Consider the following 19,333-nt stretch of genomic DNA (forward strand, 5'->3'; position numbering starts at 1 on the left):
CTAAGCTAATTCTTATTCACTTAGCTAAATATTAAAGTGAATTTTTACTTTAAAAATTTACAAAGTTTTGTTCAAAACTTTTTTTTTGAGTTGGGATCTTGCTCTGTTGCCCAGGTTGAAGTGCATTGGTATGATCATAGCTCACTGCAGCCTCAAACTCCTGGGGTCAAGCAATCCAATCCTCCCACCTCAGACTCCTGAACAGCTGGGACTACAGGTATTTGCCACCACTCTGCCTGGCTACTTTTTTTAGAGATGGTGTCTTGCTATGTTGCCCAGGCTGGTCTCAAACTCCTGACCTCAACAAATGCTTCTGGCTCAGCCTCTCAAGTAGCTGGGATTACAAGTGCAAGCCACCATGCCCAGCTACAACCATTTTTAATTTAATAATGTTGACACCTAGTGGTATAATCAATACTTAGACAACTGGTTCTAAAGGATGAGAGGTATGACATGAATAAGCCCATATACTAGCTATCTAAAAGTAATTTCTATTTTTTGTTGGTTTTACAGTCTGCTTATTCAACCAAAATAAGTGGAGTACAGGGTCTTCTGAGTAATTGAATACATATAATACGTGGGTTGAAGCCATTGCCTACATACCCCAGCTTCTCCAGTTTGTACTGCTCTTCCTGGTGCTGATATTCAAGAAGATTCCTTTGGTTTTCCCTTCAATGAGATAAACCTCACACCAGTGCAGATGGCCCATCCAGGGAGCACACAATCTCCTAAATGACTAGATTCTAGTTGTAAATGATCTTCCTTGGGTCTATCATAGATGGAGACTGGCCTTGGTAGTGAAACCACTTGGCAAGACTGGATGCATCCTTTCAGATTCAGTGTCTTGGAGCATAATCTGAAACAAGTAAAAGTGAGAATCAAAATGTTAGCACTCCTGATGAGATGGAATATAGATTTTTTTCTTAATAAGAACAACAGCCTTCATTCTGTGCCAAAAATATTCTAAACACTTTCTTTATCTTGTTTAATCCTCAAAACATTCCAGAAGAAAGATAGAACAATTTCTATTTTATAGGCGAGGAAACTGAGGCTCAGAGATATTAAGTATGTTGCCAACATGTTAAGATGTTGGCAGAGTTAGTTGTGGAGCCAGGATTTAGACCAAGGCAGTTCGTCTCCCCAAATATAAGGTTCTAGGCCTTTTATGTTTTTCATCCATCAAGGAAGATGGCTTTGCCAGGCCAATGGGGGTATATTGGCTTTTTCATCTCAGTTAACCTTGGGATAAGTGCTAGGGAAATACCTAGCTTATATGAAAAGAATCTTTTTGTCCTGGTTTTGATCTAGTTCCCTGGCAGCCTGGTTAAGACTTGTCTTAACACATACATTTCTCTTGCCAAAGCACACGTGGTATGTTTGGACATATGGTCTCATTTTTATGATCTTTTCACCTTTACATATTTTAAATATTTCACGGTGGGATTAATTATTTGTGGTGACCAAGATTGGCAGCTGCTCTTATGGGGCCATGTTGGGAATCCCTAAGGAATGAGAGGGTTGATACTCTGTGGAACATGACTTTTAAAGGTAAATATATAAATATAAATATAAAGGAGAAATATCTGACATACTCATTAATGATCAGAGCCTAGTGATGTCTTATGGTAAATTGGTACATTTACTCTGAGTCCTATCACTATAAATGGTTTTGAAATTAGCCTTATTGTGCTTCTAGCCTTTAAAAAATGTACACATATTGGGTAATCTGAATTGCTTAGAAAATGACCATCTAACTCATCCTTGCTTTTTATGCTCTGAATGAATAGTTGAACTGGAAGCATTAAAATATTGAAAACAGTAAGATTGGCTAAAGGACTTCAACTTTATTGAGCCTTAAAACTATGCCTCAGGTAAACCTGATGGTGAGATTTCTAACCTCATAGTATTCAAATAACTTTAATGCAATTTTAACTACAGAATGGGATGGTAAACCAAATTCTTATCCATCTTATCCAAAGTAGCCCTTTGACAATGTAGACAAAATAAAATTAACAACATTTGTGAAGCACCGAGTAGAGCTCACAAGAGAAGAGGTGTGCTCTTCGAAGATCTTATATAAAACTCATATGGTATATGTACAGCATATGTTTACCATTGCTTCAACTGATTAACTTCAACAAACCATGTTGGTGGACTCATATGAGTTTGCATGTAGAAGTAGTAAAGAGCCTAGATTCTGTGGCACAGTTTCCTTAGGTTTTAATCCACTGAACAAGCTTGTGAGCCTAAATCCTGAATATCTGGAAAGGCTTCTTACCTACCCTATAAACATGGGTCAATTTTGCCCTCCAGAGAACATTTGGCAATGTCTGGAGACATTTTTGTTTGTTAAACTGGGGAAAAGGATGTCACTGTCATCTAGTGCATAGAGGCCAAGGATGCTGCTAAACATTCAACAATGCACAGGAGAGTGCCCCACAACAAAGAATTATTTGGCCCAAAATACAATAGTTGTTGAGGTTGAGAAACCCTGCTATAAACCAAGACCACCTAAGTTAGTTTTTGTAGATCCCACGCTATTTCCTGATTAGATCTCAGAAAAGTTTCTTGCACTGTACAGTTAAGTTAAAAATGGAACTGAATAAAGTACCTGGGGAGAATTTAGTCTCCAGGTTGATTAACAATTGTTTTGAAATGTGAGCTTTGAAACCTTTCTAGATTTGTTATTAACTGTTTTAGCAAGGTCCTCTTTGAATAAATCTAATGTATATTTATTCCATATTCAAAAAGATAACTTTTTGATAGCTTAATATAACCTTTACTGCCTGAAAATACTCACTTATTGAACAGCAATTCTGGGGTTTTCAGACCAAGTGTCTTAATCCATTTTGTGTTGTTATAACAGAATATGTGATACACAAAATAAATTATAATGAGCAGAAATTTATTTCTTACTGTTCTTGCAGGTTGCAAAGTCCAAGATCAAGGGACTGGAATCTTATGAGGGCCTTCTGCTATGAGAGTCACATGGCAGAAGGGCAAGAGAAGACAAGAGAGAATGCAAGAGGAGGAAAAACTCATCCTTTTATGATGGCACTAATTCCACTCATGAGGGTGTAGCCCTAATGGCCTCATCACCTCTTAAAGGACCTACTTCTTACTTCTGTTACACTGACAAATTGCAACATGAGTTTTGGAAAGGACAAACATTCAAACCATAGAATTATGCTCCTGCCCACCCCCACCTAAACTCATGTCCTCACACACAAAATACATTCGTTGCTTCCCAGTAGTCCCAAAAGTCTTAACTCATTCTAGCCCCAGCTCAGAAGTCTAAAGCCCAGAGTCTCATCTAAATCAAATATGGGTGAAGCCCAAGGCACAATTCATCTTGAGGGAAATTCTCCTCCAGCTGTGAGTCTGTGAAATCAAAACAAATTATGGGCTTCCAAGACACAATGGTAGGACAGACATAGACTAGACATTCCCATATCAAAAGGGGTAAATACGCAAGAAAAAAAGGGGTAACTGGTCCCAAGCAAGTCCAAACCCCAACAGGGAAAACAACATTAAATCTTAAAGCTGGAGACTAATCTTTCTTGACTCCATGTCCCTGGGCACAATGGGGTGGGGGTTGGGCCCCCAACACCTTAGGCAACCCTGCTTTACAGCTTTACTGGACTCAGTCCATGTAGGAGTTCTCACAGGTTGGAGTCTCATTCCTGCAGCTCTCCCACACTGTCATTGCTCACTGGTAGCTCTACAGTTTTGGGGTCTTGGGAGTAGCCCCATCCCCACAACTCTACTAGGCCTCATGGGGATTCTCAACAATGGTTTTTACCTCTTAAAACAGTTACAATGGCAATTAAATTTCAACATGAGTTTTGCAGTGGACAGACAGTCAAACCACAGCACCAATGTTTTACATGAGGAATGGGTGGATTGTAGATAAGGCTATTTCAGCAAATATTATTATTATTAGAGATTTCACTATTTCAAGAAGAATGAAACCAGAGACTGTATCATTCATGGCTTTATTACTTATTGTCAGAAATCCTTTATCAGCTCACTGGCACAAGCTAGACATAGAATCCTACTTAAAATTGACATTTAGACAGATTGCTGCATAAAAGAGTCAGGATTAGTAGAAGTGATCTTCCTATTAAATTTTGTACTAGGTTAAAATGGAAAGGCTCTACACTGCCCTCATTTCCATTTCTATCTCCACCCTTTCACTTGTTTCTCAGTTATCTGATAGTTCTCTTAAAGGGTTGGATGCGTTTATCCTTTCTCAGTGGATAGAAAACAAATTCTTTTTGTGATTTAAAAAAAGTTATTATTTGAAAGAAAAGTAGCTGAAATAAACAACTGGCCCTGTTAGCCAAGTACGTCAGATGGAATTTTTAATATTAATTACACTAAGTCAACTCTATTTTTGGCTGTATCCTCTAACCCTGCTTGTTTACTTTTAATTAATAAATAATTTATCCTGTCAAGTATACTAGGAAGTAGTATTACCGAAGCAAGGTGTGTGGGAGATTTACTGAATTTTTTTTTCCTTGGCTGCTGTTGTTGCTTAGGGGTTATAGGTGTTTTAAGCTTTTTTCAGCCTAAAATCATTACAGTCATGCTGTATGGAACAAAGAGAGGGTAGACAGGTATATAGCTTTGCTGAGCAGTGATGTTTAAGCTGAGATCTGAATGACAGCAGGGTTACAGTCATGGGATGATATGCAGGAAAGGTGTTTTAAGTACAGGGCCAGGTTCACCGGCAGAGTTGACCTCAGGAGGAGATTTCTGTGTCTGTGCAGAAGTTGCTCTTTATTTATGCACTCCTTCCCAATGGAGCTCAAATACAGCCTCAGAAACCTTCTCTATGTAGACTTCAGGCAGCAATTATCAATAAGTCAGACTTTTATTTTAGAAATAAAACCAACCCCTGCCCTAGTAATAACAGGATTTCAGGGGCAATGGAAAACACCTTTTGTTCCTACTTTGACTTTCTTCTGCCCTCCCCCAGTAAAGATTACACTATCCAATCTTGTCACTGTTATGTGATATTATTTTTGACTGACAACACTATCATCCCTTCAGCAATTAGAAAGTGGAAATTGATGCTTATACATCCTTTCGACCTTTCTTCCTATCTGTTCTCTCTTCATGTCCCCTCTATGTCATCCCCTTATGCTCTTACCTTACCTTACCTTACCTTAAAGAAACTTACCTTAAGATAACTCCCTCCTAACATATCTTAATGTAATAAAAGCCATCTGTGACAAACCCACAGCCAACATAATACTGAATGAGGAAAAGTTGAAAGTATTACCTCTGAGAAATGGAACAAGACAAGGATGCCCACTCTCACCACTTCTATTTGACACAGTACTGGAAGTTCTAGACAGAGCAATCAGACAAGAGAAAGAAATAAAAGGCATCCAAATTAGTAAAGAGGAAGTCAAACTGTTGCTGTTTGCTCATGATGTGATTGTATACCTAGAAAACTCTAAAGACTCCTTCAAAAAGCTCCTAGAACTGATAAATGAATTCAGTAAAGTTTCAGGATACAAAACTAATGTACACAAACCAGTAGCTCTGTTTTACACCAACAGAGACCAAGCTGAGAATCAAATCAAGAACTCAACCTGTTTTACAATAGCTGTAAAAAAAATCCTTAGGAATATACCTAACTAACCAAGGAGGTGAAAGACATCTACAAGGAAAACTACAAAACACTGCTGAAAGAAATCATAGACAACACAAACAAGTGGAAACCCAACCCATGGTCATGGATGGGTAGAACCAATATTGTGAAAATTACCATACTGCCAAAAGCTATCGACAAATTTAATGCAATTCCCATCAAACTATCACCGTGGTTCTTCACAGAACTAGAAAAAACAATTATAAAACTCATATGGACCAAAAAAGAGCTCACATAGCCAAAGCAAGACTAAGCAAAAAGAACAAATCTGGAGGCATCACATTACCTGACTTCAAACTATTCTATAAGGTCATAGTCGCCAAAACAGCATGGTACTGGTATAAAAATAGGCACACAGACCAATGGAACAGAATAGAGAACCCAGAAATAAAGCCAAATACTTAACAGCCAACTGATCCTTGACAAAGCAAACAAAAACATAAAGTGGGGATAGGAGACCCTATTCAACAAACGGTGCTGGGATAATTGTCAAGCCACACGTAGAAGAATGAAACTGTATCCTCATCTCTCACTTTATACAAAAATCAACTCAAGATGGATTAAGGACTTAAATCTAAAACCTGAAACCATAAACATTCTAGAAGATAATGTTGGAAAAACCCTTGTAGACATTGGCTTACCCAAAGACTTTATGACCAAGAATGCAAAAGCAAATGCAACAAATACAAAGATAAATAGATGGGACTTAATAAAACTACAAAGCTTCTGCACAGTAAAAGAAACAGCAGAGTAAATGGACAACCAACAGAGTGGGAGAAAATCTTTGTAATGTATATATCCGACAAAGGACTAATATCCAGAATCTACAAGGAAACCAAACAAATTAGCAAGAAAAAACCAAACAATCTCATAAAAAAGTGGGCTAAGGACATGAATAAACAATTCTCAAAAGAAGATGTACCAAATGGCCAAGAAACATATGAAAAAGTACTAAGCATCACTAGTGATCACGGAAATGCAAATCAAAACCACAGTGTGATACCGCCTTACTCCTGCAAGAATGGGCATAATCAAAAAATAATAATAATTAATGTTGGTGGGGATGTGGTAAAAAGGGAACACTTTTACACTGCTGGTGGAAATGTAAACTAGTACAACCACTATGGAAAACAGTGTGGAGATTCCTCAAAGAACTAAAAGTAGAACTACCATTTGATCTAGCAATCCCACTGCTGGGTATCTACCCAGAGGAAAAGAAGTCATTATACGAAAAAGATACTTGGATGCATATGTTTACAGCAGCACAATTCACAATTGCAAAAATAAGAAGCCAGCCCAAATGCCCATCAATCAAGGAGCGGATAAAGAAATTGTGGTATATATATATATATATATATATATATATATATATATATATATATATATATATATGCCATGGAATACTACTAAGCCATAAAAAAGGAACGAAATAATGGCATTCACAGCAACTTGGTTGAAATTGGAGACCATTATTCTAAGTGAAATAACTCGGGAATGGAAAACTAAACATCACATGTTCTCACTTATAAGTGGGAGCTATGCTATGAGGATGTAAAGGCATAAGAATGATACAGTGGACTCTGGGGACTCAGGGTAAAGGGTGGGAGGTGGTTGAGAGACAAAAGACTACAAATTGGGTACAGTCTATACTGCTTGGGTGATAGTTGCACTAAAATCTCAGAAGTCACCACTAAAGAACTTATTCATATAAGCAAACACCACCTGCTCCCCCAAAACCTATAGAAATAAAAAATAAAAATAAATTTAAAAACAAACAAACAAAAAAACTCCTCCTAAAACTGTTACTTGTAAAATCTGCCCTTTTATCTTCCCGACCTTTTAAGGTGCGGTCTAGGCCTTCTGCATACACATATTACGCATGCACATACTGACCACCTATTTGAATCTTAATCCTTAGCAGAGTGGCTTTCATCCCATTTACATTCTATTGATATTGCTGCTATTTTCCCTTAATCGAGGACTAGCAGTTGTACAGAATTTGTGGCAAAATACATAATACACATGTACACATACCTCTTTAGGTGATTAAATGGATACATATATTCATCCAATTTCTCTGCCAGAAACTACGGATAAAGAGATTAACTAATTTATAGAAGAACACAGAGATAATAAGTGGAAGAGCAAAGAATCAGTCCTGATCTAATCTTAAAGCCCCTTTACTGCCTTGAAAGACTTCCTTCATGCTGACTTTTCTTCTAGCCCTTATATTCCTCAATCCAACACTGCCTGAAAGAACTTTCTGGCATGAAAAATTTGTTCTATAACTGCACTATTTTTTTTCTGGAAGCCATTTGCCGTATAAGAGCAAGAGCACAGGTCCTGGGGGCAGGGCACAGTTGTGAGTTCAAGAGGCTGGAGGAATACTGCAATGGCTACAGCACAGAGAGTGGTGGGAGATCACATCAAATGATGAGCAAGGCCCTCATTGTAAGGCTGTGTGGGTGAAATTTGGATTTCATTCTGAGTGCCACAGTGAAGCAGTAACAAAACCCTTTCCTGAGGAGCCTCTTGACTTTCACTCCTATTGAAACCATCATGCCCTTTATAGGTTCTTCAGCTTGTGAGAAAGGATATTGCCTGAATTAAAAGAACTGGCAATAAGTGAAAATTATTTAGAGAACAGACAGATAAAACAAAATTCTCAGAATCAGTTCAGTACTTCATGAACAGGGCAGCCAGTTACGTATTCAACTGTGAAAGACTGTCCATTCCCAAGGTTTTGACTTCAGATTATTTCAGGCCTGGTAGAACTTGGTTATACCAGTGGGATCTTTTATAGAGGTTGTAAAAACTTATCTCTGTTTTGGGGCTAGAATCTTTATCTAGGTGTTGCACAGAGTGTTGACGCTGGAGCAAGCTGCTCAGGTTCAAATCTCAGCTTTTCATTTACTAGCTAAATATACTGAACAGTTGTTTTATGCTTCAGTTTCCTCATTGGTAAAGTAGGGATAATAGTATTTAACTTACAGGTTGATGGGGGATTAACAGTACATATATGTCATTTATGACAGGTTGCTAGAGCAGTGCTAGTAATGTCAGCTTTGGTTATTATTATCATTATTAATATTTATCTCTCCTATTCTCTCTTTTTAATAGGGTTTTGAACTTTTGGGTTCACTGTTTTTCACATAAACATTTATTTAGGAACTAAATATCAAACTTGCCTCTTTCCCTTAGCATGCTAAGATAAATGGATATTCCTGAGTCTGAGGGAAGTTAAGGACAGAGTTTGAACCTAAGTTTTATTCTTATAATAGCAATTTTTTGGGAAGGACCCAGGGAGCAGTGTTTTCTTTCCAATGAGATGTCAAACTCTCGGATGATATGGAGCTTGTGTTGTAGAGAGATGATTAGTATTTTTGGAACCTCACCCTTTTGTCTAACACTTTGTATAGAGTGACAATAATGAAAGGAAGACTAAACATAGAGTCAGGATTACAGGGTTCAAATCTAAATTCTGTTCCCAACTAGCTGTGTGACCTTGGACAATGGAGCACCATTATAAAATTGGAGGAGGGTTTAATTACATAATCTCTGAAGCACTTTCTGGTATTAACATTATACAGTTCAGAGTATATTTCCTACAAACCCTTGCTTTAGGCAAAGTCTCTACATAAGGAGAAGTCTCGGAGAAAGGGTAATAGAAAAAAAGAGCAATATAAGGGAAAACAAAAACAAAGGAGAACTAGATTATTAGGAAAGAAGTATAATAAGAAAAGGAAACTAAAGAAAAGCAGGTTTAGTCAGATAACTTGCTAACCTTTTAAATTGAACACTCACCTTATGCCATGCCCTGGGGATGTGACAGTGAACAGGCCTTTGTAGAATTTACAGAGTGTTGGGGAATATGTAAACAGGTGGCTATAAAGACAACATAAAATGCTAACGTCACTTGTAGGATAGAGTGAGGCTTCCCTGAAAAGAATGGTGGAGTCTGAGGGCAAAACATTCTAGGTACAGAAGGTATCTACGAAGGTCCTGGGATAGGAGAGAGCTGGTATTTTCAAAAACACAGGGATTTTATGCATGGAGGCGATCAGGAAAAAAAAATGAAGCAAGAATAAATGAGCATATTCTCCAAGGACCAACTAACAGGGTTGAGATAAATATTATCCATTTTATCCCCTCCTGCATCTGCTGTAATGTAGGATGGCCTGAAATGAAACACCCATGTGGTTTGACCCTCCCCAGTTGCTATTGCTCATCCTATAATAAGCAGTAACACAAATCCTAGCCTAGTGATTCCCCAGTGAATCCTTTCCTGGCCATCTTAAGGCAAAAAAAGAGCCTTGTGTTTTGACGGGGAAATTCTTTAGTACAGAAAAAAAGTGAGGAGAGAAAGTTCAATATGCTTCCCTCTGTTTCCCTCCTACTCTCATATCTGCATCCCATGCAAAGCATTCCCCTTTTTCTTAGATTCTATCTTCCTCCCTCAAGAACAGCTTTTACCTCCCCGTTTTTTTTTTTCTTTTTCTACTTTTGGCCCAAATCATAGTACTGAAAATGTAAAACCTGCAGTTTTGGGTATGTTACCAAAGGAAACAGTTTTACTTAAAATCTTGTTTTTGCCAAAATATTTTCAAAGTAGCTGGAGAGCTGTCAAACCACAGTGGCTCTCAGCTGCGTTTCCTTCTAGCATTTCCCCAGGTTCTCCCAGCACAGCACTCAGTAATTGGATATTATTTGAGGAGAAGGGAAAAAAATGCTGCACGAGAGAGTTTGTAGATTTAAGAATTATTCTCCGGGTGCTGAAGGCCAGAGATCCAGAGGTGCTCAGCTGCCAAACTCCAGGGCTGCGTGACTGTGTATCATTCCTAGATGTAGCTTTCAGCGGGGAGACCCGGAGGAAACATGCTGGTAACTGTCAATATTTGGATTGCCATTCCAAAGTCTTTAGATTGTTTTCTGCCCTTCCTCATGTGGCTTTGACCAAAAGAATTTATTCTGAGAAAAAAAAGTACTGAAAACTGTTTAAAATGACATGCTTTTTGACATTGCAGGTACTGACAGCCTTCCCCTTCTCCTAACCATCTCTTCTAACCCTGGCTAGCATTAGTGGGTTTTAGGCACCAGGATTATATCTTTAGACAAATTTAAAAGTAGGCAGTTAACTTTTATGCTCCTCTAACAACTTTCTTCAAGGACCTTAGAGGAGGTACCAGCTTAATATTTAAGAACTTATTATTTATTAAGAGGCAGTAGTTACCATGCTCACTTAACTCATCCAGAAACTTAAGTTCAGGAAGTGATATGACTTTCCCAAGATCATACAACAATCCTAAACTGCTTCTTCCTTACATCATGCTTCTAATACATGTTGTTGTAAGATAGAACAAAATTAATTAAATTAAATTATAATAAAAATAATAATTTCAATAACCATATAGGAATCATGATAATTATCAATTATCAAAATGGTTATCACAAATCGACAATAGATGTGGCATCAGGACTCAAGTGCCACTGCTTTCCAAATATTTTTACCAGATCTGCTATGTCATTAGGGTCCTGGTAGGAAACAGATGTTATACTCTGAAGCAGTAACTGAAGAGAGTTAAACGGAGTGGACAGGGTCAAGGGAGCCAATGAGAGGATACAGCAGCCAGGGCTGGTAACAGTGAGAAGCAACTGACACTCCATCAGCCCCAGGCCTGGAGGGGCTGGGAAGGAGCAGTGACGAGAACCCAGTGAAACCTCTCACTACAGCAGAGGGGCTGCCTAACATGAGCTGATGGGGAAAAAACCCAGACCTTGCTTTTCTCTTCTTTCTTCTCTCCTGAAAGGGCCACCCATTGACGAAATCCAACAACAAGCCAGAGGACAAAGAAGACTGAGTGACGATGTCTGGAGGGCTTAGATTTCTTCTCTTAAATACCATTTATGTGCTGATGACAGCCAGTTTTTTTAAATCTCTAGTCTTGAATTTCAGTCTTGAATTTCAATTTTCTTCTAGGTATCTCCTAACTGAACTCCTGACTGTTCATCAAAGTTCATTCCTCCAACAATCCTCTCTATCTCAATTGCTACCATCTCCTACCAAATGCAGGCCAAAAATCTTGGAGACATCCCTAAGTGCTCTTTTCCCCTCCTGACCACCATCCTATCCTTTAGCAAATCTTGTTGACTCTGCTTCCACATACATCCAGAATCCCACTCCTTCTCCCTGCTTTCGACACTACCACCACAATTCTAATAACCAATTGCCTGGAATGTTACACTAGATATGCTGTTTCCACCCCTGCCCTCTTATGGTTTAATCTCAAGACAGAAACTAAAGTGATACTTTGAACAACCTAAGTTAGACCATGTCAGACTTCTATTCAGAATGTCTAATAGCCTTCTACTTCACTCAAACTAGAGTAAGTCAAATCCTTACAACTGGTCTATAAGACCCCACGAGATCTCCCATCCATTCTCTTACCTCTGTGACTTCATTCCCCATTACTCCCCCACTTCTCTTATCCTTTCTGCTAATGCTAAACTCCTTTCTGTGCTTAAAATAAACCAGGTACACTCTTATTTGAAAAAGTATTTGCACTTGTTCAATGTGCCTGGTACACTCTTCCCCCAAGTATCTGAGTGGCTCAGTCCTAAATCTCCTTTGAATTTTTGTCAACTGTCACCTCAAAGAGGCCTTCCCTAACTACCTTAGATTAAAATGCAACTATCCCCCAACCCTAGCATTCCCAACCCATTTCCTCATTTCATTTTTCCCATAATACTTAAGACCATCTGACACATTGTATATTTTACTTTTTGTTTGTTTATGACCTGCCTTTCCCTGCTTGCACTCTTATCTCCACTGTGATAAAAGATCCGTAACCCTGACATGCTCATGGGACCATAAGGAGACATGAGCAATTATCTAAGTTTTGTTGCATGAAATAAATCTATTTCCTCATAGCACTTGATAGTACTTGCACAGGATTGCATAAATGCTTCCTAGCTTGAACCAGAAGTTTTAAACATACTTAGACTAGGGTTCAAGTATGATTTGGGCAATGTTTGAGTCCTTTATTTCTTGATAATATGAGAAAAGGCTCCAAAGTAGTTGAGCTATGTAAGGATTCTAGATATTCTGTCTAGTCGTGGCAAATGTTCAGTCAAAGAAAGCCCCGGGGCTTAAACATTAGTCCCAGCCTAATGTTTTTTTTTTTTTTTGAGACAGAGTCTCGCTCTGTCGCCCAGGCTGGAGTGCAGTGGCGGGATCTCAGCTCACTGCAAGCTCCGCCTCCCGGGTTCACGCCATTCTCCTGCCTCAGCCTCCCAAGTAGCTGGGACTACAGGCGCCCGCCACTACGCCCGGCTAATTTTTTGTATTTTTAGTAGAGACGGGGTTTCACCGTTTTAGCCGCCGGGATGGTCTCGATCTCCTGACCTCGTGATCCGCCCGCCTCGGCCTCCCAAAGTGCTGGGATTACAGGCGTGAGCCACCGCGCCCGGCCCCCAGCCTAATGTTTAAGATTTTAGTGTATAAGACCTTAAAAAGTAGTAAGGTATTGTAAGGCCTCACACAATCTGAAGGTCAAAACTGGTAAAATAACAAATTATTGAAAAATATTTCTAACCTTTTTCCCTTTGCTGTATTAAACAGATATCAATAAGTTGATATTTGCTGAATGAGTACACAAAACTTTGCTAACTTTCAGCAGAGTGGAGAACTCGAAAAGAAGTTAATAACCACTGAGAGGTTTCCTTATGCAGAGAATAGAATAGGCACTAGCCATATAATGTGATTTCAGGGACCCAAGAGGCCCCAAAGTGAAAAGAAATCCTTCCTTATAAGCTTGCTGATACATAAAATTCCACATTCCACAGTCTAACTTTTACTTAATCATTAAATCCTGATTAAATGCAAATATCCCCTGTGTGGGGTCCTCCATCAGTTATTTATTCCTCAGAGTAAAAAAAATTGAGAACAGGTTTTGCCAAGGGGCATATGAATAGTTATGAGCAGCTTGAGGAAGCTGTGATCCAGGAAACAAAAGATTAAGTGGCTCAGATGGCAAACTTCACCAACTTAATAGTTTTGCCTGTATTTAATCTCACTATATTGGTTTTAAAGATTCTTTATCTCCAAGATTGATATGGTTTGGCTGGGTCCCCACCCAAATCTCATGTTAAACTATAATCCCCATGTGCTGAAGGAGGGCCTGGTGGGAGGTAATTGAGTCATGGGGGTGGACTTTGCTCTTGCTGTTCCTGTGATAGTGAATGAGTTCTCATGAGATCTAGTTGTTTAAAAGTGTGTAGCGCTTCCCACTTTGCACTCTCTCTCTCTTTCCTGCTCCACCATGGTAAGACATGCTTGCTTCCCCTTCACCTTCCGCCATGATCGTAAGTTTCCTGAGGCCTCCCAGCCATGCTTCCTGTTAAAAGTGCAGAACTGTGAGTCAATTAAACCTCTTTTCTTCATAAATTATCAAGTCTCAGGTAGTTCTTTATAGGAGTGTGAGAACGGACTAATACAAAATGTAATGTCTTTTGGGGTAAGTTGTCATTTCTGAGACACAGGTCAGCTTTCATATATCTGGACATGGGGCTGGCGGGTGTAGAGGAGTGGTAACTATCAGACATGTGAATTATACAATCCTTCTTTTATTTCCTATCTGACCCTTGTACTTCTCATTCTGTCTTTATAATGAATTTAGCAGAATCAATGAGACTAGTAGCAAATTTAGTCAAAGAAGTTGATAGTAATGACTAAAATCCTTTCAGTACCCTTAATGCATGGATGGATTTCAATTACTCAGCCTCTTTTTCCCATTATCTAAGTTCTCACACTAGAAGATAAATCACATTGTGATATGTACTCATTAGGCTAATCTTCATAACAATTCTCCTCTAAGAAACACTGGGTCACTTGATCACCACCAAATATTGAATTATATTAAAGGACTTATAAAGAAATATGGTAGAGTAAATATATAATTACAGAAATTCCCTTGTTGATGGCCCAGGAAAGATGACTGAAGGGGAGGTGAATGAAAAGCCAGAAAAACTAAGGAGAGTCACAATTTTGTTTTTTCCTGGCTTAAAGGAATGTGAGAGAAATACCTCAGGAATAATTATCTGGAACTGACTGTCTATAATAGATAAAAGTTTGGCAGGAGAAAACATTGGAATAAGAGGAAACTGCCACTCCCCAAACCACTGGATACTTTTTCATAGTAGCTAAAAAGCATCACATTGTATAGAAAACCACTAAATTTTGAGTTTATCTCCAACATTCCCTCAAATGAGAGGAGAAATGGCTGGAAAATGGTGAGTTAAGCAATTGTTGTTTTCATATATCCAAAGACTCAGTGCAGCGAAACTGGTGGACTCACCCTAAGATGGGGAAATGATCCAAAGTTCCCCCACAAATAGACAGTATAAGATCTAGTACAAAAGGTTTAACAAACTTCCAAAGAAAGAGATTAAAGATAAAATCCTTGAATAGAACTGATGCATAGCTCTAGTCCCTCTCTCCTCCATGCTACCACTCCCCTTCTCCAGGTAACTAAAAATTCTAACATAAAATCCAGCCAATAAGATCAAGGGGGATTTACAAGAAGGACCAGAGATAAAGTGGAAAGGTAGGCAAGGAGAATCTACCCATATATTTGGGAAATGAGTGGAGGGAGTAGAAAACGTGAAGCAGCTACAACAAAACAATACAGCAAAAGAAAATAAAATTTTGACAATAAAAAACAAATAACATGTAAGCATATATTCTGCAACCTACAAAAATTATCCAGTCTGGATGAAAGACATTGGTAATAAAAAAATCTTTATTAATTAAATAAAATTAAGGAAAAGATAAAATGTTTGAAAGAAGAAATTCAAGATGAAATGATGGTGACACAATGAGGTAAAAATGTGACTGGAGAATGAACTGGGGACAAAATAAAACTAAGAACCAATTAATTATTTTTAAGTAACAACAAATAAGTGATTGTAGCAAAAGACCAAGTTGGTGACAATCTCAAGAAAATACTAACAGAATGCCTAACATAGATAAATGGTAAAAGGAAGTAAAGAGAAGCTATGGTGGGCCGGGCACGGTGGCTCACACCTGTAATCCCAGCACTTTGGGAGGCTGAGGCGGGCGGATCACGAGGTCAGGAGATCGAGACCATCCTGGCTAACACGGTAAACCCCATCTCTACTAAAAATACAAAAAATTAGCTGGGCGTGGTGGTGGGCGCCTGTAATTCCGGCTACTCAGGAGGCTGAGGCAGGAGAATGGCGTGAATCCAGGAGGTGGAGCGGGCAGAGAGCTGAGACCAAGCCACTGCCCTCCAGCCTGGGTGATGGAGCAAGACTCTGTCTCAAAAAAAAAAAAAAAATGAAGCTATGGTGAACTAATAAAGGAGATGAGGTGACATGTGAATAAATTGTTTCCCTAAGTACGTAGAAATGATGGGAAAAATGCAAAGATAAAAAGAAAAAAAACTAAATTTTCCAATTGCAAATGCACTGTATTGTTTGAGGATGATTTGAAGAAAATGATCACTACTGAGACATAGTCTATTGAAAATACTGGTTTTAAAGGACTTTTTTTTTTAAAAAAAGACTTCAACTTCCAGTTTCAACTCCAATACATAATGAGCTTGGAAGTTGACACTCTTGTCCTTACAAGAAGAAAAACATTGAACAAAATGCAGGTCATTGACTCTTCTTGGATCTGTCAATGAGGTTTCAAGGCAAACTGTCATCCTACAATCTGAAGAGACAGACAAACACAGAGAATTACAGCTGAGATTAGTTTACCTGAAGTAGAAGCCACTGAACCCTTAAACTGGTAGGAAAAACTAAATAGTGATTGGGCAAATTGGTGGAGGCTGAGTGTGGAAGAGAGAAACTCTTGGGGGTTATAGTGTTAAGGGGCTCCTGCTCTTTCATGGCTTTTACCTCCAGAAACACTACCAGGTTCCCACAGTGCGGAGCCCAGAAGGAAGGTAAAAATAACCACCTGAAACACACTCAGAACATTCTTCACCACAAAGTACTCATAGAAAAATACTTTACCAGAGCTCAGTCCCACCTAGGGGAAGGGCAATTACCCAACTTCAGTCCTCTCTAGACTTTCTGTCTCATCTAAGTGAGACAAAAGCTAAGAAATACCTGTGAAGTTTCCAGCCCAAGGACACAGGCCTACAAAAAGACAGATTTGATAATAATATTATAGAACTCTTCTCCAGTCCCTCCAACACCCTACCTCATGAAAAAGTTTCAAAAGAAATTAAGGCTGGAAAGTGCCTACTTTACTGCTCTCTAATCACACACACACACATACACTCATCTTGGTGGTTCTGTTTCTCTGACTGAAACCTGAATGATACAGAATTTAGAACTGTCACAAAAAAGGTAAGTATATGAAGTAATGCATGTGTTAATTAGCTCAATTTAGCCCTTCCACCATGTATACATATTCCAAAATGACATGTGCACAATAAATACATATATTTTTCATTTCTCAATTAAAAAATAAAAGTTTGAAATTAAAAATAGTATTGAAAGCAGTTTCTAAGAAACACGGTCTTAAATATTAGTTGCTAAAGTGACTCTGGGTTTTCTCAGTGCTCTGGTCTGTCTGCTTTAAAGGCATTAATGACTGTTTCCAGTGGTATAGACAGCATTAATAGTCTATTAAATGCAGTGGCAAAACAGTTACTCAAATTATCACCTGGACATACCTGTAATAATATGTCTACAGAAAGAGAAAGCAGGGGTTGTGGGTGACAAAATATTTTCTGCTCTAGAGCATTTAAATAAAAAGTGTGCTGGAGCAATTAGGGAAACAAAATTATGAATGAAGGGCTTTAAGTTCCCAGTTCACAGTACTACTTCAATGACTACTCCCAAGGATACTTATCTCCTGGGGCTGCAAGGCTGAGATTTCTGAAAACCAAATGCAAAGTCTAATACCATGTGTACCTCAATTACAGAATAAATGTCTTTGGCAGTAGAAGTAGCCCTCCACTCCTGTGTGAAGAGCTGTCCCCCTTGCATGAAGAACTGGAGGAGGCTCTGATTCTCCTCAGAACATTTCCCTACCACCTGTCATTGCTTCTGCTACTGTAACTAGATACAAGTCTCAGTGTCACACAATCCTTTGGGGGGTCACTTCACCAACCTCTGTTGCCAGCAGTGCCTCTGCTTGAGTTTTGCTTGTTGTGCCTGCTGGGCTTGTCCCGCCCACTCAACCTGTCAGGATGCACTTGGCTTGTGCTACAGGCCTGGATCCCACACCTACTGAGGGCAAGCCAGGAGTGAAGAGGTGAGGGGTATGTGAGGAAGCAAGTGCAGGGTCTGGCCACTGCACACAGCCAGGTACACTGGCTGCCGCGGTGGGGTAGGTAGCTCCAGGCACTGGTTCTGTGTGAGGCTGTGGCTAAACCAGGCGTACCTCAAGCAGCTTCTACTGTGGACACTGGCATCTGGATGAGGAGAATGCAGTGGTGCCTGAAAACTCGAAGACATCAGCAACACTGGAACCCCAAGGGGTGGGGGTGGGCATGTTACAGGTCTCTTGTTCCCACCACCCACAGCATGTTGAATGACGAAGTGGGTGTGTTTTAGCTAGTTTGTGTTACAGCTTGTTCAGTCCCACTGACTCACTCTGGCCCATGGTTCCTGGGCTGGCCCGGTTCTGCTGCTGCTTCCCATTACATGGGGCAGCTTCCTGACACCAGTTAAAGATGGGAGGGCTATAGTGTTACAGTACTGGCTCAGGAAGTCCCAAGGTCTGGACCCCCAGAAGGGTCACACTTCACTCCCACAGTCCCACAAATGGGAGCATGTTACTGCCCGCAGCTCAGCAAGCCAGCCAGGAAAGTGTTACAGACATTTTCATGCCTGCCATTTAGCAGGTCCCGAGTTATTGTCCCATGTTCAGGAAGAATGAGGTTACACAGACAACTGGAGGGTAAGCAAGGCAGAGAAGTGCTTTATTGAGTGACAGAACAGCTCTCAGCAGAGGGGAGACCTGAAGGGAGTAGCTCCTATGCACAGGCAGGTAGTCCTGACATGTGGCTGAGTCTGGGGTTTTTATGCGCTCAGAATCGAGGAAGTGCATGCTGATTGGTCCATGGGTGGGCCCAGGAAGAGCACTATCTGACTAGCTGAAAGGCATCAAGGAAGTTATCACACTGGGCCATGAAATCCACCCAGAATTGGCAGCCCAGCCCCCAGGGTTCAGGCCATCTCTGGCTTAAGGTTTGGGCCTCACTGGGGACCCACTCCTTCCCGCCTAGGAGCCTGTCTGCCTCCTGCCACCATTGTCAGCAAGTCTAAGGATGAGATAAAGAGGATGATCTGAGAGGAGCCACAATACACAGCAAAAAGTATCGCATGATTTTGCCAATTTCTATCAATAGAAACCCAGAGAATGTGTGTAGGAATGGATCTTATGGTTATCCTAGTCACTTTGTGTTGCTGTAACAGAATACCACAGAAATGATAATACATGAAGAAGTTTAGAGTCTGGCAGAGAGTATGGTGAGAAGTCAAGCAGGGAAGCTCCCTCACAGGCAGGTAAGCTGGGGACCTGGGACAGGCACAGCCTCTGCCTTGCAGACACCTGGAGCTCTCACTGTGGCACCCACCGGCCAGGCCTAGGCCTTGAAGCAGCTGTGAACCTCTCTCCACCCCACTTTGGTG

General features: G+C 39.8%; 1 long non-coding RNA gene across 1 annotated transcript in view; it reads right to left on the reverse strand.

Moving 5' to 3' along the window:
* LOC105374715 (uncharacterized) overlaps nt 1-19,333 on the reverse strand; it is a 41,147-nt gene that overhangs the window by 14,215 nt on the left and 7,599 nt on the right. Inside the window, exon 2 of the long non-coding RNA NR_188269.1 lies at nt 604-856. This is a non-coding gene — a long non-coding RNA (uncharacterized LOC105374715). The remainder of the gene's footprint in view (nt 1-603; nt 857-19,333) is intronic.

This window comes from Homo sapiens, chromosome 5 (assembly GCF_000001405.40).
Source record: "Homo sapiens chromosome 5, GRCh38.p14 Primary Assembly".
Taxonomy (NCBI): domain Eukaryota; kingdom Metazoa; phylum Chordata; class Mammalia; order Primates; family Hominidae; genus Homo; species Homo sapiens.